The 22,798-nt window shown below is 41.7% G+C and overlaps 1 protein-coding gene and 1 pseudogene across 1 annotated transcript in view, besides 4 other annotated features; one reads left to right on the top strand and one right to left on the bottom strand.

Annotated features, from left to right (window-relative positions):
* On the bottom strand, positions 8,173 to 9,866 carry KRT8P12 (keratin 8 pseudogene 12; annotated as a pseudogene).
* Positions 10,812 to 12,011: an enhancer, noted in NCBI's record as "P300/CBP strongly-dependent group 1 enhancer chr3:160283422-160284621 (GRCh37/hg19 assembly coordinates)". NCBI's record gives its function as "activates an origin of replication core promoter dependent on BRD2, BRD4, P300/CBP, MED14 and CDK7 cofactors, with strong dependence on P300/CBP, by STARR-seq in HCT116 cells {active_cell/tissue: HCT116}" and the evidence as "EXISTENCE:reporter gene assay evidence [ECO:0000049][PMID:35650434]".
* Positions 11,269 to 11,338: an enhancer, noted in NCBI's record as "active region_20759". NCBI's record gives its function as "activates an Ori minimal core promoter by ATAC-STARR-seq in GM12878 lymphoblastoid cells {active_cell/tissue: GM12878}" and the evidence as "EXISTENCE:reporter gene assay evidence [ECO:0000049][PMID:35858748]".
* Positions 12,029 to 12,598: a silencer, noted in NCBI's record as "silent region_14857". NCBI's record gives its function as "represses an Ori minimal core promoter by ATAC-STARR-seq in GM12878 lymphoblastoid cells {active_cell/tissue: GM12878}" and the evidence as "EXISTENCE:reporter gene assay evidence [ECO:0000049][PMID:35858748]".
* The window catches only part of KPNA4 (karyopherin subunit alpha 4), a 70,565-nt gene continuing 59,840 nt past the window's right edge, over positions 12,074 to 22,798 (top strand). The window contains exon 1 of the mRNA NM_002268.5: positions 12,074 to 12,431. Coding sequence (NP_002259.1) covers positions 12,363 to 12,431 — 69 coding nt within the window. The 5' untranslated portion in view covers positions 12,074 to 12,362. The remainder of the gene's footprint in view (positions 12,432 to 22,798) is intronic.
* Positions 12,649 to 12,818: a silencer, noted in NCBI's record as "silent region_14856". NCBI's record gives its function as "represses an Ori minimal core promoter by ATAC-STARR-seq in GM12878 lymphoblastoid cells {active_cell/tissue: GM12878}" and the evidence as "EXISTENCE:reporter gene assay evidence [ECO:0000049][PMID:35858748]".

The following is a 22,798-nucleotide window of genomic DNA, read 5'->3' as shown; positions in this document are numbered from 1 at the left end:
ACTTCTGTGGCAAAATTTAACTACTCTTAAAGAGTTTTCCATTCTAATGACTATCTCGACAATAAATGGAGGGTAATTTTTTCCTCTTTTCATGTCACAAGTAGAAGCATAAGAAAAAAGTAAGAAGATAAATATAAAACAACAGGTATTTCTTATCTCTAGAAATTAAATAGCTCTTCTAGGTCACTTGGGTACTGATATTTTTCTACTGCTCTAAATGGCTCTATGATATCCTTGACTTAACCAAATAGTAGTGTTACTAGTTGTTAATTGACTTGATCTGTCTACAAGTTAAACGTTTCCTCTGATGCTTCTATTTATAAGCAGAACTAAAAACCTGGGAAGTCTAATTTGGGATCAGTATGGTAGCTATGTTCTGCCATGTAGAACATCAAGTTTGATTAGGCAGATCTTAGGTTTGTAGCCAAAAACAAGTGCACAAGACATTCTAATATCTAATGGGCTCTAAAGATGATCTAACACTTACCAGGCTCTTATTCTCATTAGTTATATGAATAGCAACGTTTAACAAGCCCTAATGAAAGTGTTGGGATAAGCATGTAGGTGAAAGACAAGTGTTTCCAGGATTCAACACTGTGGGAAAGCAGGAAGAAAAACATTAAAAGATTTGTTGTTAAAGATTTTGTCTGAAGTCCATCATAAGGTAACCAGTGGTAACCAAGCATAAATGGCACAGCAGGAACTATAAAACTTTGACTTCATAGGCATCTGGAGAATCTGTTGAAATTCTATTTGAGAAGTTCTCCAAGAGACTTCAGGGTTTTTTATAACATGGTGACAGACTATAAATAGAAATCTGATAAATCCTATGAGGTGTGTATTTCAAGACTAAATCCCATGCCCTAGAAGTATTCAATCTTACACTATCTTTTAACTCATGTTACACAATTATAATCATGTGTGTATACATGGTACCATATATCACATATAATCTATGCTCAGTAATAAAGAAAAGCAACTAATAAACACATCAGAATCCTACTTATATGAGATTATCCAAGGCAATCATCTGTTTTAGGACATCAGTCTGTCTTCATTAAAATTATTAAAGACACTTATATTCACGAGAATTAATTTTCACCAGTCTGATTAGCACTCTAATTATTATCACATTTCGAAACAGAACCCATAATTCAGGTGTGTGGTATTACTGAAGATAGAATTATATCATTTTCACAAATACAAAAAAGAGCTCTACTTAATGCATTTGCCCTTTGTTATTTCCACAGATATTTAACTGCTTTTACTTTAAATATCTAAATATTACAATCACTTTTTGTTTTAAATGATTAGATGCACATGTGTCTTACAAGAAAAATGTTCTAACGGTATCCTCTGAAGGCTAATGGGCTATGACTCGAGAAGTATTGAGGTTGGAAAAACCACCTGATGGGAATATTGAAGTGAAAATTCAAGCACAAAATGGATGATTGATCTAGGTAATATTTATACTTTCTCCCAACTCTGAAATATCACGAATATGAAACAATTCTTACAAGTCTTGAACAGGGCAGAGGCATTGGGAATGAAAAGTAGGCAAATGTGAGAGACTCTGTGAAGATACTTAATCATTACAATTTGGCATTGATTGAGTGTGGGATGCAAAAGAAAAGGATGAAAAATCAAAGTTGCTTAATGTTTTCAGCTCAAGTAACTGTGTAGCACCATTAGCAGAAATAAAAAAAGGATTAATAATGAACAGTTTTCTTTTTTTCCTTGTTTTGATTGTAAAGGAATCCCCCTGAACAGGGTGACTAAAAACAGAGAAGCTAACCCAGTAGTTCCGTTTTGTTTGTTGGTGTCAGAGATAGTTCCAAAAGGTCAGTCCAGATGGGGCAGGAAACTCCAATCCTCCTGACTGGACCTCTAGGGGGAGAGCCCTGAAAAGGAGACTAGTAGAAGGGAAACAGAGAATCTGGCAAATGGGCTAAAATTCAGAAACAGAGGAAGAATAGTTAATGGAGACAATCTGCCTCTTTGAGAATTGATACAAGAATGAGGACAGGCTTGTTCCTTCAAGGAGCTAGGGAAGGCAGTGGCAGAGTATATGAGATTTAAGCTAACACCAAAAAACTCAGAATAGACTTTGCATGCTCAATGGAGCCAGTCTTGGTGAAGAATGCCATAAAGAAAATAGCATTTGAGAAAACTCAAGAGGAAAACTAGAAGCAGAGAGAAACCCAGGAAAGTAGTACATACATCTATTCAGAAAGTAGTATGGAACTGGGTATTACTGGTTTGTTCAATGCTGTCCTTGAAACACTAATCGTTTGGTACATTTTTTCAAGCAAGAAATCTATAACAATGAATTTACACACTCATTACTTTTTTTTTTTTTTTTTTTTTTTTTTTGATGCAGGGTCTCACTCTTGTCACCAAGGCTGGAGTGCAGTGGTGTGATCATGGCTCACTGCAGCCTCAACTTCCCAGGCCCAAGTGATCCTCCCACCTCAGCCTCCCAAGTAGCTAGGACTACAGGCTCATGCCACCATGCCACCATTCCACCATACCCGGCTAATTTTTTCTTTCCTTTTTTTTTTTTCGTAGAGACAGGGTTTCAGCATGTTGCCCAGGCTGGTCTCAAACTCCTGGGCCCAAGCGACCCACTTGCCTCGGCCTCCCAAAGTGCTGGGATTACAGTTGTGAACCACCATGCCCAGCTGACATGCAGTATTTTGAAGTGTTGCGTGATATATGATCTATTACTATGATGCCTAATTAACCCTTATTTTAACTCTGTTCTTATCTTAATGCTGAATCTATCTATAATGAGCTCTGTTGGGCCAGATTTAGTAGTTGTCAAAGTATATTCTAGGAACTGAAACATCATTAGCATCCTCTGAGCTCTTGTTAGAAATTCACATCTTCAAAGGCTGTCCCAAATTTACTGAAACAGAAACCCTGAGGATAAAGGCCACCAATCTGGTTTTTAACCTTCCAGGTGATTCTAATGCATTCTGAAGTTTGCAAACCATTCCCTTGGGCATTTCAGAACTAGACCTCTTCAGAGATCCAGCTGAGATCAGTGTGATAGGCCAGGGTCTATCTAGAATGGTCCACTAGAAGTCGCAGGGGTTTACAGCTAGGCAGGGCTGGACTCCAACTAGGGTTCCAGTGAGAGGTGACAGCGTGCTGGCAGTCCTCACAGCCCTCGCTTGCTCTCCGCACCTCCTCTGCGTGGGCTCCCACTTTGGCGGCACTTGAGGAGCCCTTCAACTCGCCGCTGCACTGTGGGAGCCCCTTTCTGGGCTGGCCAAGGCTGGAGCCGGCTCCCTCAGCTTGCGGGGAGGGGTGGAGGGAGAGGTGCGGGCGGGAACTGGGGCAGCGGGTGGTGCTTGCGGGCCAGCGCGAGTTCCGGGTGGGCGTAGGCTCGGTGGACCCCGCACTCAAAGCGGCCGGCCAGCCCCACCGGCCCTGGCAGTGAGGGGCTTAGCACCTGGGCCAGCAGCTGCTGTGCTCAATTTCTCCCGGGCCTTAGCTGCCTTCCCGCGGGGCAGGGCTCGGGACCTGCAGCCTGCCATGCCTGAGCCTCCCCCCGGCTCCGTGGGCTCCTGTGCGGCCTGAGCCTCCCCGACGAGTGCCACCCCCTGCTCCACAGCGCCCAGTCCCATCGACCACCCAAGGGCTGAGGAGTGTGGGCACACGGCGTGGGACAGGCAGGCAGCTCCACCTGCAGCCAGGGTGCGGGATCCACTGGGGGAAGCCAGCTGGGCTCCTGAGTCTGGTGGGGACGTGGAGAACCTTTATGTCTAGCTCAGGGATTGTAAATACACCAATCTGCACTCTGTATCTAGCTCAAGGTTTGTAAACACACCAATCAGCACCCTGTGTTTACCTCAGGGTTTGTGAATGCACCAATTGACACTCTGTATCTAGCTACTCTGGTGGGGACTTGGAGAACCTTTGTGTTCCACACTCTGTATCTAGCTAATCTGGTGGGGACGTGGAGAACCTTTGTGTCTAGCTCAGGGATTGTAAACGCACCAATCAGTGCCCTGTCAAAACAGACCACTCGGCTCTACCAATCAGCAGGATGTGGGTGGGGCCAGATAAGAGAATAAAAGCAGGCTGTCCAAGCCAGCAGCGGCAAGCCACTCAGGTCCCTTTCCACACTGTGGCAGCTTAGTTCTTTCTCTCTTTGCAATAAATCTTGCTGCTGCTCACTCTGGGTCCACAGTGCCTTTATGAGCTGTAACACTCACCGCGAAGGTCTGCAGCTTCACTCCTGAGCCAGCGAGACCACGAACCCACCAGAAGGAAGAAACTCGGAACACATCCGAACATCAAAAGGAACAAACTCCAGACATGCCGCCTTTAATAACTGTAACACTCACCGCGAGGGTCCGCGGCTTCATTCTTGAAGTCAGTGAGACCAAGAACCCACCAACCAATTCCAGACACACTAGCACCTGTTAGTTGTGTAGGTTCTTGAGCAAATTACTTCCCTTCTTTGAACCTCAGGTTCCTCATACAGAAAATGGAAATGTCTACCTTTAAAGGTTGCTATGCACAGTGAAGTTTATGTACCTCCATGGTAATTAGGAGTGCCAGCTCTGGTGTCATGCCCAGTTCAAATGCCAGCTACTGTGTGATCTTGGGCAAATTACTAAACTTCTTTGTTCTTCAAGTTTCTCGTCTGTAAAGTGAGTATACTTAACTCATAGCGTGGTGGTGAGAATTCAATGAGTTAACATACATATATTGCATACATACATTATCTATATAAAGTATTTTTTTTATTATTATTTGTATTTCTGCTATTATAGGCAGGTAATAGTTATTGAGCACTTACGTGGCAGTCAGTCTTTTTTTTTTGAGACAGAGTCTTGCTTGTTGCCCAGGCTGGAGTGCAGTGGCGTGATCTCGGCTCACTGCAACCTCCCCCTCTCCGGTTCAAGTGATTCTCCTTCTGCCTCAGCCTCCCGAGTAGCTGGGATTACAGGTGCTTTTTATGCCTGCCAGCCCGGGTGCAGTGGCCCACGCCTGTAATCCCAAAACTTTGGGAGGCCGAGGCAGGCGGATCACTTGAGGTCAGGAGTTTGAGACCAGCCTGGCCAACATGGTGAAAGCCTGTCTCCGCCAAAATACAAAAATTAGCTGGGTGTGGCGGCTTGCGCCTACTTGGGAGGCTGAGGCAGGAGGAAAATCACTTGAACCCAGGAGGCGGAAGTTGCAGTGAGCCGAGATCGCGCCACTGCACTCCAGCCTGGGCAACAGAGTGAAACTCCATCTTTAAAAAAAAAAAAGACTGACTGCCATGAAAGTGCTCATTAACTATTACCTGCCTATAATAGCAGAAATACAAAATAAATACAAATAATGATAATAAAATACCTAAACCTAGAATACAGTAGGTGCTCCATATTTGGTAACAACTGTCATCACTGTCATTATAGAATTTTTTCCTGTAAAGTATAAGGTTATAAAAGGTTCCAATACATGGATATTGCCTCATACTTTCATATATTCTTTACATTCTAATGTCTTGCCTCCCCTCTGAATAACCTCTGTGGATTATATCAATATCAATTTCCTTGTTTTGATAATGTAGTACAGTTATACAAGATGATACCATTGGGAGAGACTCAGTAGAGGACATATGGGATCTCCTTGTACATTTTTTTGGAACTCCTGTGAATCTGTAATTAGTTTAAAATAAAAAGTTTAAACAACAAAAAAAGATAGGGGTAGAGAGCTTGTCTGAAATGAGACTATTGGGCCTGGAGGCTGGGCCTATAATTCTGTTTTTCTCCAATTAAATAGTTAAAATTAACTTAAAAAAAAAAACCTAAAGAAAAACTAGATTCATCCCTCTCAATCAAATTAACATCAATGGTTAGGCGCAGCAGCTCACACCTGTAATCCTAGCACTTTGGGAGGCCAAGGCAGGCCGGTCACTTGAGGTCAGGAGTTTGAAACCAGGCTGGCCAACCCAGTGAAACCATGTCCCCACTAAAAATACAAAAAAGTTAGCCGGGCATGGTGGCAGGCGCCTGTAATCCCAGCTACTCGGGAGGCTGAGGCGGGAGAATCACTTGAACTTGGGAGGTGGAGGTTGCAGTAAGCGGAGATCACCCCACTGTACTCCAACCTGGGCAAGAGAGTGAGACTCTGTCTCAAAAATAATAATAATAATAACATCAATGGCTAGCCTTTTAATTTATCATCTTTTACCAGGGGCTTCAGTCAAAATTATCTGCCTATAATAGCAGAAATAGAAATAACAATAATAATTTTAAAAGAAAACACTTTGCATAGATAAAACACCTAGACCTAGAACATGGTAGGTGTTCAATATTTGGTAACAATTGTTTCTCCAGGCTCCCCAAGTTATAAGTCAGAAAAGTCTGGCAATGAAAATGAATGAATGAAGTCCCTACTACCTGATCAACTTTGTTTTCCAGAGAAAATAAAGGTATATTACCAAAGGCTTAATATTTTTCTCTCAAAAAAGCAGCAGTCCAACTGTAACAAAAACAATTATATTTTAGTAAGATTTAGCAACATATAAAATTCCTGAGGCTGGGCGCAGTACCATGCCTGTAATCCTAGCACTTTGGGAGGCCGAGGTGGGTGGATCACAAGGTCAGGAGTTCAAGACCAGCCTGACCAACATGTTAAAACCCCGTCTCTACTAAAAATACAAAAATTAGCCGGGTGTGGTGGCGAGTGCCTGTAATCGCAGCTACATGGGAGACTGAGGCAGGAGAATTGCTTGAACCCAGGAGGCAGAGGTTGCAGTGAGCCAAGATCGCACCACTGCACTCTAGCCTGGGAAACAGAGTGAAACCCTATCTCAAAAAAAAGAAAAAAAAAAGTAAGAAATTCCTTCTTTTTTCAGCCAACACTACCCAGGCTTTTGCTCCGGAAATCAAACATAATCTAAGGTATTCCCCCAAACAGTAACAGAAACCATAGGATCCATATTACAAAGAAAGATTCTATAATCTTCAGTTTAATGCATATATCATGAGAAGAGTCTAAACTGCTTAACAAGTATAATTATTTTTGAGATTGCATTTGATCAACCAAAATCCTGTGTAAGTCTTCACAAATCCTTTCACAAATGTCTGTTGCAGAACAGTTTCTTTATTCAGAAAGTGACTGAAAGAGAATTTCATGACACACTGAAAGCAAGTATCTCTATAATATTTTAGACTTTCCCAATACCAAGAGTGATTACAAGTCAGAAGATCATTACCTAACACCAAATAGCCTATTGCAAAACAGGTCTCAGATACAGAATAGGTTTTCTGGTGTTTGGTTATAACAACTATACTTCATATACATAAAAAAGCATTTTTGTTATATAGTCTGTTAGTTATGTACTAAATGTTTGTGTTCCCCCAAAATTTATGTTGAAATCTTAAGCCCCAATGTGATGGCGTTAAGGGTGAGGTTTGAGGGAAGTAATTAGATCATGATGGTGAAGCCCTCATGAGTGGGATCAGTGCCCGTATAACAGAAATGAGAGCTTGCTCCCTGGCTACTATCCAATATACAAGGATACAGTAAGTAGATAGCCATCTCCAAACCAGGAAGTGAGTTCTCACCAGATACCAGATCGGCCTTAATAATGGACTTCACGTCCTCCCTAACTGTGAGAAATAAATGTTTGTTTAAGCCACTCAGTTTGTGGTAATTAATTATCACATCCCAAATTAAGATAATATTGAAATGGTTAATAATTCTGCATTTTACTTCCTTAGTTCAGCAAGTTAAATTGAAACCTTCTAATCAGTTAGATCTACCATATCTTGCTAATTCAATTACCAATCAGCATGTAGAGCTATTACCAACTCCCTGAAGGACTTCTTTGCCCATTTGATAAATTATGTATCTTCTATCTGGGAAGAACTGTAAGTATAGACACTAAACATGTAAACTTGGCAAACGAGTAGTGACAATTTCAAGTAATAAATTTAAGCCAATAGACTAAGAATTATAATTAAGGATAATTGTTTAACGAAGTGTGTCACAACTACTTTTAAATACATAGGGGGTTTTGCCCTGAAATGTATGTCTGATTTATTCCCTAAACTTTCACCCCAGAATGAGCTTGATATCAAATCAAGAATTTATATAAATAGAAGGAACTCAGTAAACTAGAAGCAATAACGACTCAATCCACAATTTTTTTTTTTTTTTTTGTGGTGGAGCTAGCTGAGGTTTTATTTTGGACCAAAAAAAAAACCACAATTGTTTTCTAGCTGGAAGCATGGGCAAGGGGGGTCCCCAGACAGTAAACTCCCCCACGGGTGGGTTGAGCCTCAGGTGGGGGGTCTCCTGTTGTCTGTGCTTCCCCACACAGCAGCCTCCCTCCTGGAGTCTGTGGCAGCCACGGGAGGGGCAGACTAGGAGGAGCTGCCACAGTTGTTCACTTGGGCAGGAAGTCAGAGGACTCAGACACCAGCTTCCCATCGCGGGTCTCGATCTTCTTCACAACCACGGCCCTGGTGGAGCTGGTGCACCTGAAGGAGCTGAAGCCTGTGCCAGAGCCAAAGCTGGAGCCCAGGCCATAGCTGAGGTCACGAGTTGTGAGGCCCACATAGGCCGAGCTCAGATCACCTGCATAGCCGCTGGTGGTCTTCGTATGGATACTCATGTTCTGCATCCCAGACTCCAGCTGGCTCTCCTAGCTCTCCCGCAGCTTTCTGTAGGTGGCGACCTCCATTTCCAGGCCAGCTTGACTTTCATCAGCTCCTGGTACTCACACGTTGCAGAGTGGCCTCCAGCTTGGAGAGCTTGGCATTGGCATCCTTAACGGCCAGCTCCCCACGATGCTCAGCATCTGGGATGGTGGCCTCCAGGGAAGCCCCCTGGCCTTGGAGGCCCTCAATCTCAGCCTGGAGCTGGCTGATGTTCCGGTTCATCTTGGAGATCTGAGTCTTTGTATGCCGCAGGTCATCCCTGTGCTTCCTAGCCAGCGTCTGCAGCTCCACATACTTGATCTGGTACGTGCTCTCAGCCTCAGCCCGGCTGCAGTTGGCAACCTCCTTGTACTGCCTCTTTACCTCAGTGATGATGCTGTCCATGTCCAGGAGTGGCTGCTGTCCATGGACAGCACCACAGACATGTTGGAGATCTGGGACTGCAGCTCCCGGATCTCCACTTCATACAGTCGGCCCTTCCAGGTGAGACTCCAGCTCTACGTTGTTCATGTAAGTTTCATCCACATCCTTCTTGATGAGGACAAATTAATTCTCCATCTCTGTAGGCTTATTGATCTCATCCTCATACTTGTTCCTGAAGTCCTCCACCAGCCCCTGCATGTTGCCAAGCTCCGCTTCCAGCCTCAGCTTCTCCTGGCTCCAGCAGCCGCCTAAGGTTGTTGATATAGCTCCCGAACATGTTGTCCATGTTGCTCCCAGCCATCTTGTGCTGCTGCAGAAGGCTCCACTTGGTCTCCAGCACCTTGTTCTGCTGCTCCAGGAACCATACCTGGTCTGTGAAGGAGGCAAACTTGTTGTTGAGGGTCTTGATCTGCTCCTTCTCCTGGGTGTATACAGCCTGGATGTTGGAGTCCACCTCCAGGTTAAGGGGGCTCAGCAGGCTCTGGTTTACCGTGATGGTGGTGATGCCTCGCATACTGCTGGCCCCACCATAGCCTCCGCCCAGGCCACCCCAGAAGCTGCACAGTGAAGCTCCCCACTAGGGAGAAGCTCAAGGAGCTGGTGCAGGCACTGGGCCCACTAGTGTAGGGGTGGCTGCTGAAAGCCTGGGGGCCAAAGGTGGACACCTTGTAGGACTTCTGGATCACCCTGATGGACATGGTGGAGGCAGGAGTGGAGGCAGCAGGCTAAACCAGGTGGAGATTCCAGAAGGAGCAGAGAAGCTGCTTCTTGATCTCAATCCACATTTTTATCAAGAGGGGTTAGCTTGCTTTTCAATTTAAGTGGAGGCCTGTGGCATTTCTGTAATACTTAAAGGCATTTTTTCTGGTTTTCCTGACTTCTGCTTTAGGGGCATATGTTCTTGCATTTGACAAATAGTCCCTGAGTACTTATGTGCCAAGTACTATTAGGTGCTGAGTATACAGTAGTGAACAAAACAACTATGGTTCTTGACTTCAGAGAGCTTACTGTCTAGGGAGGAAGACAGATTTTAGATAAATAAAATTATAAATTGCGGTTATTTCCTATTTGTATTGCATCTTTCTCAGCTGGTAACTAATTACAACTCTTTTTTAGGAGTCTTCTGCAGAGAGAAAACTCGGGTTGTTGTTTAATCATCAGAGACACTCAGTTGTAGCTGGAGACATGAAGACATATAACAGACACGTCTATAAACTTCATCATGAAAGCTACCATGAAATGTATTCCAAGAAGTACAAAATGTTCATCTATTGATATGTTGACAAGATAACTTTTACTCATAGGGTGGGAATTCGCTGGTAATTTGTTTTCTTGAACACTGCTTATGATAAAATCCATGATGGCGCAAAATACATACATACTCCAGCTTTTCAAGTGAATTTTCTTATCCTAAACTCATTTTGAAAAACACCAGTGCTCTGGTATGCAAATACAATGTTACTTCAGTTAAATGAGTCTTTGAAGAATAACAGTTTATAATGAACATCATCATTTGTATTTAAGATCTGTTCTAAATTTATATTCAAGTTAACCTTCAGTGTGAGTTATTTCCAGGCACAGCTTCTGTTGTCCATAGCCCAGTTGATGGTATATAAAGTACTGACGACTTTAAAGGTACTACTCTGCTTCCTAAGTTTTTACCTTCCTTTCCCCCACTACAATATCCTCTCCAAAGTGATCCCTAAAGTACTCCGGCTCTTTTCATTGCCTCTCCCCCAAAGGAAACTCAGTTGTTCATATCTGTTAAACCCACTAACTTCTTCCATTTTAACTTAAAAAAAAATTCCCCTCTGTTGCCTTTAAAAGTGTTTCCTTAGGAAGATCTGCATTTTAAACACTTATCTGCACGTTGTTCTACTAAAAAAATATACTAGAAAGGACCGAGAGTCAACGATTCTGAAGGAGTTTGTATCAGGGTCTCTTCTCCCTACCTCGTCAAGTTTAAACACACCCAACGCCTCGATTCCTTGCTTCCGACCCGAGTTGCTGCTTTACATATCCCTGTACATTTGAGGTGTTATTCGTTGATATTTCAATATATTTTAAAATAATTTTCCATTTCTGTTTTGTTAAATTTTTGAATACGTTCTTTTGTATCTCGTGTCATTTCTGCCTCTGGTAACGTTGTCCTTGGTATCCTTGGAACTCATTTCCTTTCTCAACACACAATATTCCCTGTCAGCTGCCACGGGCCCCGCCCTCCAGAAGTTCATACTTTGTGGTCAAGCAGCTTCTTTAACTTTTTAAGACGAATTACCTAGGAAGTGCTATTGTCCCAGGATCACCAGCTCTGCCTAAATTCCTAACTGTTGCGGGTGCTTAGTCACAGAAGATGAATCAGATTCGTCTAATGGGCCCTTTCCTTTTCCACCCACCTTTCCTGTCGCTTTCCGCTGAGCCTCCTCAACTCACGTCATCCCAGCAGGTCCTGGCCCCCAGACCCGGCCCTGGACGGCACGGAGCCCCAGCCCGGGAACGCAGCTGCGAGCGTCCGACCGGGAGACAGCGAAGCTCAGATCTCTCTGCAAAGCGAACGGAGAGCGCAAGGAATGCCCAGGAAGACAGGGCGCGCCCGGGGAGAAAAGAACGTTACTTTAACGCAGCCTCGACCCTGAACCCCCGGCATCTAGGGCTTCCTGGACGAGTGGAGCAAAACAACTCGCCCTGCTGCGTTCCCGGGCCTCTCCTTCCCCTTGCTGGTTTCCCCTTAAGTCTACTTCTCTATTGCTTCCAACCCCTCTCTCCGAAGGCACGTGGTCCTTCCCCGCCTGCCCCCGCCGCACCCCTCCGGGCCCGGAGCCGGCTCCTCCCAGCGTCGTTCGCTTCCCCTTTCCGTTCGCTCTTTCCGCCCCGGCTCTCCATCGCCCCTTCTGATTGGTCGAACGCACCGGAGCCTGGTTAGCCAATGGGCGAGCCGGGCTGGAGGCGATGGGCGTGGCCGCAGCGCCGGGGCCCTCAGATCGAGGCTGCCTCCCCCTCTCAGCCGGCAGCACATTCCGTCGCCTTGCCGCCGCCCGGCCCCACAGTTGTCTTTGCCGGAGCTGCAGTCGCGCTGGGGTTAGGGCGGGGGGGCGGGCGGGGAGAGGAGAAGGCCGCGGCGGAGGCAGGTGAGAGGAGGAAGGAAGCGGCGGCGCGGCGGGCACAGCAGCTCAGGCGGCGGCCCGGTTCCTGGGAGTGTCGGTGCGGCGCGTTGGTTGGGGCGGATCCCGCGGGGCCCGGGCGGGGGAAGGAGTCACCGGCCCGGCCATGGCGGACAACGAGAAACTGGACAACCAACGGCTCAAGAATTTCAAGAACAAAGGCCGCGACTTGGAGGTAAACTCGGGGACGACGCCGGAGGGGTGGGGGCTGTGGGCCTGGGGCCGGTCTCCGCCGGGACCCCGAGTGTGGGGATTAGGGGCGGGAGCCGCCTCCAGGCCTCGGGGAATGGCGCTAGGGGCCGGCCCGTCTGTGACGCCTCTGCTAGCGCGCCGGGAAGTTTATGTCGGGCCTGCTCCGCCTCCGCCGGGGAGCGAGGTGCCCGGGTACGGCCGGCGCGGCCTAGGCCTGCCCGGCGGAGCCGGCCCGGCGCGGGTGCGAGGGGCCGGGCCGCGCGGCGGGGAGGCCGGGCGCGGCGCGTGCGGAGGAGGCGTGCGTGTGCGGCCGGTGCTGCCCCGGCCGGGCCGCGGCCCCTTCCCCGGCAGTGGCGGAGATTCCGGCTCTCGCTCGGGCACCGACGTCTGGCGCCGCGGGAAGGAGGGCGGTGGGAATGGGAGGGTGAGCGTGTGGCGACCGAGTGGGGCTCTGAACTTCCTCAGCGAGGCCCGAGGCGTCTCCACTTAAAGGCATTTTTTCTGGTCTTCCCGACTCCCGCTTTACCCCTGCCTCCCCCCAATATCCAAACTACAGGACAACTTCTCCGTTGAAAAAAACACCCCCGGCGTGAGAGGCCATCCTGGTGATCCTAACAGTGCCTTCCAGCGGCCTGTGTTTTACTCTGGATATAGCTGATTCAAGATGTGGCTCACGGTGTGCCCTCTTCCAGGCAAAGGATACCCCTTATTTCAGCTTGTCCACAAATCTCTTTACCCCCTCCTGAGAGGAGACCACCAGCTGCATTCTTACATATAAAGTCTAAAGGGTTATACAAAGCTGTCATCCTCTAGTCTACAGTATCCTTTCCCTCCACCTGCTGGTGGTGGTAGTGGGGGATGGGGTGGGCTAGGGAATGGCACCATCACGTTTGATTATTTAAAAAGGAAAAAAAAAGCTTCATTGTCTTAGATACAGCTGCTCCCGAGATTGTCTACATAAGGTGTATGGGTTAAATACACACATGCACACACGCATACCCACACACCCCACTGAGATTTTTGATAGAAGACTTCTTCCCTTCAGCTTTTAAGAGTTTAGATAAATAGATTTAATACTTCCCTTCTGCATCTTAATCACGAGTTTAGCTTTTAGGGAAAGTGGTCAAGCAGTATTTTTTATGTTGTTCTCGGTACGTTTTCATAATGAAATCTTCAACTTCCCATGGCATTTCTGAACTTGAGAGTCTGCTTGACTGAGATATTTTTTGGGCTTTTTACAAAGCTGTTAATATTATCTTTAAAGTAGTTCAAGCGTTTTAGTGGGTTTCATAATTTGAGGGACGACTAAGTGTCCAGGGATGTTAATTCTGTGGTTCTTTTAAGGTTAACATATTACCATTGTGATCCCTTTTTTTAATGCAAAGATGTCACATCTTTATTGAGATAATTTGCATGCCATAAAAATGAGCTTCTTAAATAACAATGATTTTTCAGTAAATTTACTTGTTTATGAAAGAATGTGGTGAAAATGTTTTTTACTAATATGAATACTTAGAATGAGAAAAAATCACAAATGATAAAACTTAAAAACTGGTAAGTACCACAAAATTACAGAATCCAGAAAAATAGCAATTAGGTGCTTGACAGATCCCTATAACCCTTTTTTCCTCTACATTTCTGGCTTCATTTTTCTGGCAGCTTCATTGAGATGTAATTCGCATGCCATACAATTCACCCACTTAAAGTGGCTTTTAGTGTATTCGCAGTTTTGCAACCATCACCACAGTCCATCTTAGAACATTTTCACGGCCCCAAAAAGAAACCTGTACTCATTAACAGTCACTCTCCAATTCCCAACTACCCCAGCCCCAGGCAACCAGTTTTTGTCTTCTTAGATTTGCCTATCCTGGACATCCCATATAAATGGAATTGTACAATTTGTGCTCTTTTTTAACTGGCTTCTTTCACATAGTGTAATGTTTTCAAGGTTTATCCGTGTTGTAACAAGAATGTATCAATGTTTCATGGCCGAATGATCCTTATGGCCGAATGATCCAATGATCCTCCAGCTCATGGATATACCACATTTTATTTATCCCTTCTTCAGTTAATGAACATTTTCATTGTTTCCACTTTTTTAGCTATTTTACATAATACTACTAAGAACATTTTTGTGTGGATGTATGTTTTATTTCTCTTGGCTATATACCTAGGAATAGAATTGCTAGATCATATGGAAACTTACTTTGAACCTTTGGTGGAATTGCCAGACTTTCTGAAGTTATCCTTATTTTTTAAATTGATGTTTCCTCCTACCTCATATCTTTTGGCACTTTAGTCAAAATCAGATTAAGTCCTGAGGCTGTATTAGAAGAATATTGTGATGTGTGACTTTTAAAAAATAAGTATATATTGACATTAGCCAGGTTTTTTTGTTTTGTTTTGTTTAGAAATTCATAGTGCCTTATGGTTGTCCTCTGATGACTTTGATATCCTTGTGCATACATTAGGGGTAGGAATATTTTCACTTCCACCTAAGGAAATAACATATGATTCTAATAGAAAGTCATACTTTGTCCACACTGTGACTTACTCAAAATCACATATGCTTGTAATGAGATAGAAACATTCTTTTTTATATTTAGAGAACAGTACAGTGGTCTACTTTGTGTATTTGTTACTTACATATCTGGTCTATCTCTCTAAGCACTTATCAGCCTACTTACATATATGCTGTATCTCTCTAAACACTTAATCACCCTTTAGATATGGTTACTACATTGTGTTACATAATGTCTGTAGAATACAGCAAATTCTGAGAAAATAATTGCTTTTTGATTTGGATCTTATGATGACATCTATTTCATGGGAAGTCTTCAGAAAGAAGTATGGACCAGTGAATTTAACTTAATCCAGTATATCCAAAATACCATGCAACATCTAATTTGTGTAAAATAATTGAGACGTTTCATATTATTCCTTTCATACGTTCAAAATCCAGTTTGTATTTTACGGTTATGGCATACCTCCACTTGGACTAGCTGCATTTCAAGTGCTTAATAGCCACATGTGGTTAGTGGCTACCTTATTGGAACAGCCCATGTACAGAGTATAGCATTTAGGGAGAGGTAATTGTAGCATATTATGATCTAACAGTTTATTTGATTAGAAATGATGAAGAATACAGAGTCCTAGAGTTTAGTTTAATTTGATCTCTAACTTTGTGTATGACCTTGGGGAAAATCGCTTAGTCTTATGGTTCTTTCATCTGTAAAACTAGAGGTACTTGACATCTGCTTCATGAGTGTTGTGAAGATTAATAGGTAATGTTAGGAAGATGCCTGGCAATTCTCTGAGCGTTTTATCACCTTCAGCTTTTCTTTTTGGGGGAGGGAAGGGATTTAACAAGATTCAGTATAATTGATTCTCTTACTCCCTTATTTTCAGTGGCTGTTTTTTCTCTCTGCTTGTATAACTTGTTACATTGAACAAGTAATAGGGAAAGGTTTTAATACAGAGACATGTAGCTGCTCATTGAAGGGCAGTTTAGGCACACCAAATTAGTGATCCTTTTAAAGTTGTAATTTCTGAGTGTTAGAGTTGAAAGTTATTCATAGATTTCAATCTGATATTTGTTCCTACCTCTCTCTACCATTCTGACTCCTCTAAAATGTGGTCATGTTAAGTTTCTTGAAACACAAACGCACCAAAGAAGGCATATGTTCAGTATCCATTTAAAATAATTATCAGGAACTATCAGATGATATTCACCATGGCGTGGCTGCTTCTTACAGTGTTGTAGAAGATCCCCAGTCTTAGTTTGAGAATAGTAACCATAGAAAAGAGGGTATATACAGTGCAACACAGGAAATGGGTAGTGACCAAACTTGAAATAAAAAACTTGTCAGGATAAAGTAAATTAAGCTCATATAATTTATGTTTTTTAAAGTAGAGGGGAATTTTCTTGTAGATTTCCTAATAAACCTGCATACTTTTTATGAAAGTTCTGAGTGTCTAGGTTCAAATAGAGCATAAAATATAACTAGATCTTTTAAAAACACAACTTTAAGAAAACAACTTACCCTAAATATAAAAGAATATTAAAATGCTACATAATTAGAAACTTGTGATTATCCACACAAACATAAAATATGAAGTCAGCTTGAACTTTAAAAAAAGGTGCTTGGTTGGCAAGAGTTTAATAAATTGATCAGCTGTTTTGTTGTTTTGAAAGAGCCTCAGTGATTTGTTAAAGTGTACAGAGTGAAAAGCATTGTTAAGGTATTAAGTCTTGTTAACTTTTAGAGACTGATCTCTCTCACCACAAATCTTGGAACATATTTACTATACTTAAAATAACTACTGTCTAATTTTTCACATAATAGTCCAAGCATGTGACAATATGAAATATCTGATAGAAATATAGTTAGGAATTAAATGACTGTTTCTGTACTTCTTGCCAACTTTCCTGGTTTACAAGGTAGCCAGTTTGAGAATTGCTTCATTGATAGTTTTCCTGGAGATACCAAGATGCCCTTATTTTTCGTAGTCACTAAGTATGTCAAATGAATGTACAAGATTGGGAAGAATTGTAGGAGTGATTTAGATTTCAAAGAATGAAGCTACTTTAGAAAAAAAAATGCAAAGGTAGTTTTTAAACATTGATTTCTAATACCTGATAGTGGTTGTGGGTCCTTAAAATATTTTTAAATGTTTTCTGGAGTAGCATTCATCTATTTGAGGCCTATAATGATGAATGAAACAAGAGCATGTCATCAGATTTAACCTTGATCTCTGATTTTGGTACTTACTCGCTGATTTAGTTTTGGAACAGAAAAGAGGAATATGACTGAAGGGAACTTTCTGAGCACCTACTGTATATGCTTTTAACTGTATTCACATTTCTCTCAATCTTATACATATTGAATTTATTTTAAAGAAGAAATTTTAAAGAAGAAACTCTTGTGCTTTTGATTTAATAAGATAACATTTAAGGGAATGATTTTAATTCAGGTGTGTCAGAGTCTGTTCTTTTTGTACTTTACCATATTTCCTCCATTTGACTTCTTTCAGCCTTAATGCCAGTCTCAAATTTGATGAAAAGGTTCTATGTGAAAGCACTGAGCATAGTCCACGGGGTATAATAGGTATTCAGTAAATGTTTTCTTTTTTTCTCAGAGGGTTTTTGGAAATTGTGGGTCACTTGTAGACTTTCAAACACTAGAAAACACAGTTTGTTTTCTGTGCTTTTCATTTAGGTTTGGTAAAAGACAGGGTTGGAGTTCTTCCTTTTTCTGTGGTTAATATGAGAACTGTATATTGATATCTATAAAATAAGGACATTTTTCAAAACCAAAAATACATAATGAGAAGAATGGCCATGTTGAACCTTTTTTTCGGGTCTTAATGTTTGGCTTAAGACAGCTGAATTCTCATCTGTTTCTGCATTCAGTCTTTTGTGATACACTGTTTTGGTCGAAGTGTGTGAAGAATGTCCACCTTCACACAGACAGACAGTTGAAAAAGGAAAGTATGTTATGTTTTCATAGGCTTTTCAGGATAATTATGGAGATTAAGTGATACTACACCGTAATTCTGCAAGAGGTAGTTTCTTAAAGATAGTTGCAATGTAGAATCTGAAGCCACATGAGTGAACTTTTCTTACACTGTTACATTAAAATCTATTGGTCTGTCTTGCACTTCAGATGTAACATTTACCCATCTTTTACTGATGCTTTTTGTAATACCATGCATTGGATTATTTGGAAAACATTATGTCACTGAGTTATGCACGTCTTCCAAATGCTAACATATTTTATTCAATAAAAAATTCATGATTGTTAACCACACAATTCAGAAAAATCTTAAGTATTGAGAATCTGTCAGGTTCACAGAAGTGGATACAAGTTTTCTAAAATTCTAACTTTCTCTGGGAAGCTCAATTTTTTTTTCTTTTTTTACCATGCCTCTGGGACAAGTTCAGAGGAAGCTGAAATTTTATCATTAGCAATAAATGCTATAAATGGTTATCGTTGAAGCCATAGACTCACTTTGCTCATTTTTGTGAAAACATCTTCCAACCATTAAGTCTGAATAACCATAATTTGTCTGTCAGTCGTTTTTTCAAGTAAAAATAGTGTTCCATGAAAAAAGTGGCTAGGTCAGTTCACAACTCAGTTGCACAAGTACTTTTTCCTTGAGACAGTCGTCCTTAAGTAGAAGTTGGTATGCAGCAGAAGTGGCTTATATGTAATCTTCATTTTTTTCACACAATTAGAAAAGGCCAATATTTAATAAAAGTAATCATTTTTTACTGTTTCCTCAAGGAATTCTTAAGTGAGCTGACTTTTAAACAAATTTTAGATGTGAAATCAGTGACAACTATTGCATCTTGATGTCATTACCTTAATTCATTCTAAAGCACCAGCAGTCTTACCCCTATGGCATCAATTCAAGTGTTAATACAATTTTTTTTTTAAAAAAAGTATTAGTATTATCATTAGGAAAATAGTTTTGACCCTGTGTACTCTCTGTAAAGGTCTCAGGACCCACATAGGGGCCCGTGGACCATGCTTTGAGTGCCACTCTTTTAGTTTACCATTGCTTCTTTTGCACATGAGTGTCACTTTTAATTAATACAGGCTCTTAAAGGACCTTATAGTATAGGGGTTAAAAGACATGGACTGTAGAGTCACTTAGGTCTGGGTTTGAACTCTGGTTTCTCCACTTAGTAATTATGGAGGCTAACTTAATTATGTCTAAGCCTTTGAAATGTTTAACAATGCCTAGCATAAAGTACATGCAGAGTAAATGGAACCTCTTACTATTTCTGCCAACTTACATAGTCATACATTGCATCCAAGTAAACCCCTATGTTCCATATCAGAATAACATTTTGCTTACAAAATTCCTCTTGTACCTCTGTGTGCCATAATCCAAACCACATCATACAAATTTGGGAAGGCTTCTTATTCCCCTTATTTAACAGTCACCTGAAAACCTACTTTCTCCCACATACTTCAGCCAAATTGTCACATACATACTAGTTTATGACTTCATTTCTTTAATCCTATGTTTTAAGTGGGTTACTAAATGCTTTATGTAGATTTTGTCACTGTTTTCTCAAAACATTGTAAATATAATCAGAAAACAACTATAATTCACACTATTTAGTACCCAGAATGAAAATGATTTAAGGTCATAGATATTTGTTGGTAATACAAGATTAAGTTGATTATTAAAGATGCTAAACTTTCCCAGGCACAGTGGCTCATGCCTGTAATCCTATTGCTTTGAGAGGCTGAGGCAGGAGGATTGCTTGATACTGGGAGTTTGAGACCATCCTAGGCAATATGGTGAGACCTTGTCTCTACAAAAAAATAAAAATAAAAAATTTAGCTGGATGTGGTGGCACACACCTGTAGTCATACCTATTTAGGAGGCTGAGGCAGGAGGATCGCTTGAGCCCAGAAAGTGGAGGCTGCAATGAACTATGACCATGCCACTGCACTCCAGCCTGGGTGACAAGAATGAGGTCTCATCTCAGATAGATAGAAATTTTTAAATGCTGACTTATTTTCTATTACTGTTTATTTACTATTCGGACAAAATTTAGTCACCTGTCATTTTTTCCCTAAATTTTTATTTACTTTAAACTTAATGTAAATTAGATTTTAACTAATGATGTATTTTGACAAACATGGAATTTCATGAATTTTTTTACTAACAAAAGTCGGAATCCTAAGATAGTATGTTTTTTACTAGTTCAGTGATGGACATATTGTCTAATATTAGAAGGTAAATCATAGTCTATCTCAGTGTCCTGTTCTTTAATAAAAACTTTAGTTTGCACATATCTACTCTTTATGTTTTTTAAAGTATGTCTTTCTGGACCCTTGAGGTAAGTGTTACATAAATTTATTTAGTTGAGTAGTTTTATCCCGAAAGACCTATGTTAAGTGGTCTCTGCTTGGTTGTATTAAATGGCCCTGTCCTGTTTGCCACCTGTTCTTCCTCTTCACACTGGCTTTTTAGCCACTTTAAGCTGTTACTGGTCCAGAAAAACAAGCAAGATAATACCTTAAGGTTTTCAAATAATTGTTAACATCACTCCTTGTTCTTTAGTAGGTGTGAAACCCAAATATTCTCCAGCTCTTTTTAAAATAGTGCAGAGGATTTGGTTCCTTGAGGCCGGGAGTTTGAGACCATCCTAGGCAGTATAGTGAGACCTCATCTCTACAAAAAATAAAAAATTTAGCTGGGTGTGGTGGCACACACCTATAGTCCTACCTATTTAGGGTAGGTTTGGTTCCTTATTTCACTTTTGAATATTATGTGGAGATGTTCATTTTACTACAGATATATCTATAGAATTGGGTTCATTGTTGATCAGCTGTTTCAGACACCTTAAATTTGTTCACGTTTTTTCTCTTAATGTTGTGAATAATTTTTCCCAATTCCCTTTTTATTCTCCAGCTTTAAAACAATGACAGTACAGGTTGAGCGTCCAAATCCAAAAATCTGAAATCCACAATGCTCCAAAATCTGAAACTTTAAGCACCTACGTGATGCTTAAAGGAAACACTCATTGGAGCATACCAGATTTTGGATTAGGGATGCTCAGTCTCTAAGTATTATGCAAACATTCTAAAATCCAAAAAAATCCAAAATCTGAAACACTTGTGTTCCCAAGCATTTCACATAAGGGATACTCAATGATGAAAAGTTTAATTAAGACCAATAAACAAATAAAAAATAGGATCCGCCTCATTAGTCATTAGGGAAACACAGCTCTAAAGCATGATGAGATACCACTTTACACCCACTAGGATGGCAGTATATAAAAAGAAAATAACAGGTGTTGGTGAGGATGTGGAGAAAGTGGAACCCTCATACATGCCTGATGGGAATGTAAAATGGTACGGCTGCTTTGGAATGCAGTTTGGCAGTTCCTCAAAAAGTTAAACAGTTAACATGTGACCCAGCAGTTCTACTAATTAGATATAAATCCAGGAGAATTGCAAACATAATGTCTGCACAAAAACTTGTAAATGAGTGTTCATAGCAGCATTATCCATAACAGCCAAAAGAGGGAAACAACTTGGCTGGGCGCAGTGGCTCACGCCTGTAATCCCAAGCACTTTGGGAGGCCAAGGCGGGCCGGATCACCTGAGGTTGGGAGTTGGGAAACCAGCACTACCAACATGGAGAAACCCCGTCTCTACTAAAAATACAAAATTAGCCAGGCATGGTGGCGCATGCCTGTGATCCCAGCTACCTGGGAGGCTGAGGCAGGAGAATCACTTGAACCCAGGAGGTGGAGGTTGCAGTGAGCTGAGATCGGGCCATTACACTCCAGCCTGGGCAACAAAAGCAAAACTCCTTCTCAAAAATAATAAATAAATATAAATAATTTAAATAAATAAAATAAAAGAAGGAAACAACCCAAATACCCATTAACTGATGAATGCACAAAGTATGGTATATGCATACAATGGAGTATTGTTCCGCTATAAAATGAAGTATAATAGTTCACCCTTATCTGCAGTTTTAGTTACCTGCAGTCAACTGTGATCAGAAACTAGGTGAATATGTGATACAACAAGATATTAATATTTAGAGAGAAAGAGATCCCACATTCACATGACTTTTCTTACAATATATTGTTATAATTGTTCCATTTTATTATTATTAATCTCTTACTGTGCCTAATTGATAAAGTAAGTTTTATCATAGATATGTAGGCATAGAAAAAAACATACTACATGTAGAGTTCAGTACTATCTGCAGCTTCAGGCATCTACTGGGGGTCTTGGAACACACCCTGTGCAGATAAGGGGGTGACTATTGTACTGACACATGCAACGGTATGGATGAACCTTGAAAACATTATACTGCCTGAAAGAAGTTAGTCACAAAAGATCACACTCTATAATTCCAGTTATATTTGAGAGGATATAGTAAATAAATAAATAAAACTAAAAACTCTTTTTCCTACACTGTCCTTTCATACAGTCACTCAACACAATACTTCTGACACCAGATGTGTGGGGGTTTTTCCCCACACACCAGCTAAGCAGTCAGTTCTGCAACGGACGCCTGCTGGGTATCCACTGATTCAATTTAATTCTGACACTGTCTACCTGGAGATAACATCAGATTTCAGGTTGAGAGCTCAGTCCCATGGGAGTGTCCCCCACTTCAGATGGAATCACAAGCACAGGTTATGTCTTCTGCCTCTGACTGACTGGCTATACATAGAGTTCGCACTACCTGCTCCTTGGGTTCAATTAGCTTGCTGGAATGGCTCACAGAACTCAGGGAAGCACTCTCCTTATGTTTGCTGATTTTTTAAAATAAACTATATTACAAAGGATACAGATGAACAGC

This window comes from Homo sapiens, chromosome 3 (genome assembly GCF_000001405.40).
Source record: "Homo sapiens chromosome 3, GRCh38.p14 Primary Assembly".
Lineage (NCBI taxonomy): Eukaryota > Metazoa > Chordata > Mammalia > Primates > Hominidae > Homo > Homo sapiens.
The sequence above is the reverse complement of the archived record's forward strand: the minus strand, read 5'-3'. Positions and strand labels throughout refer to the sequence as shown.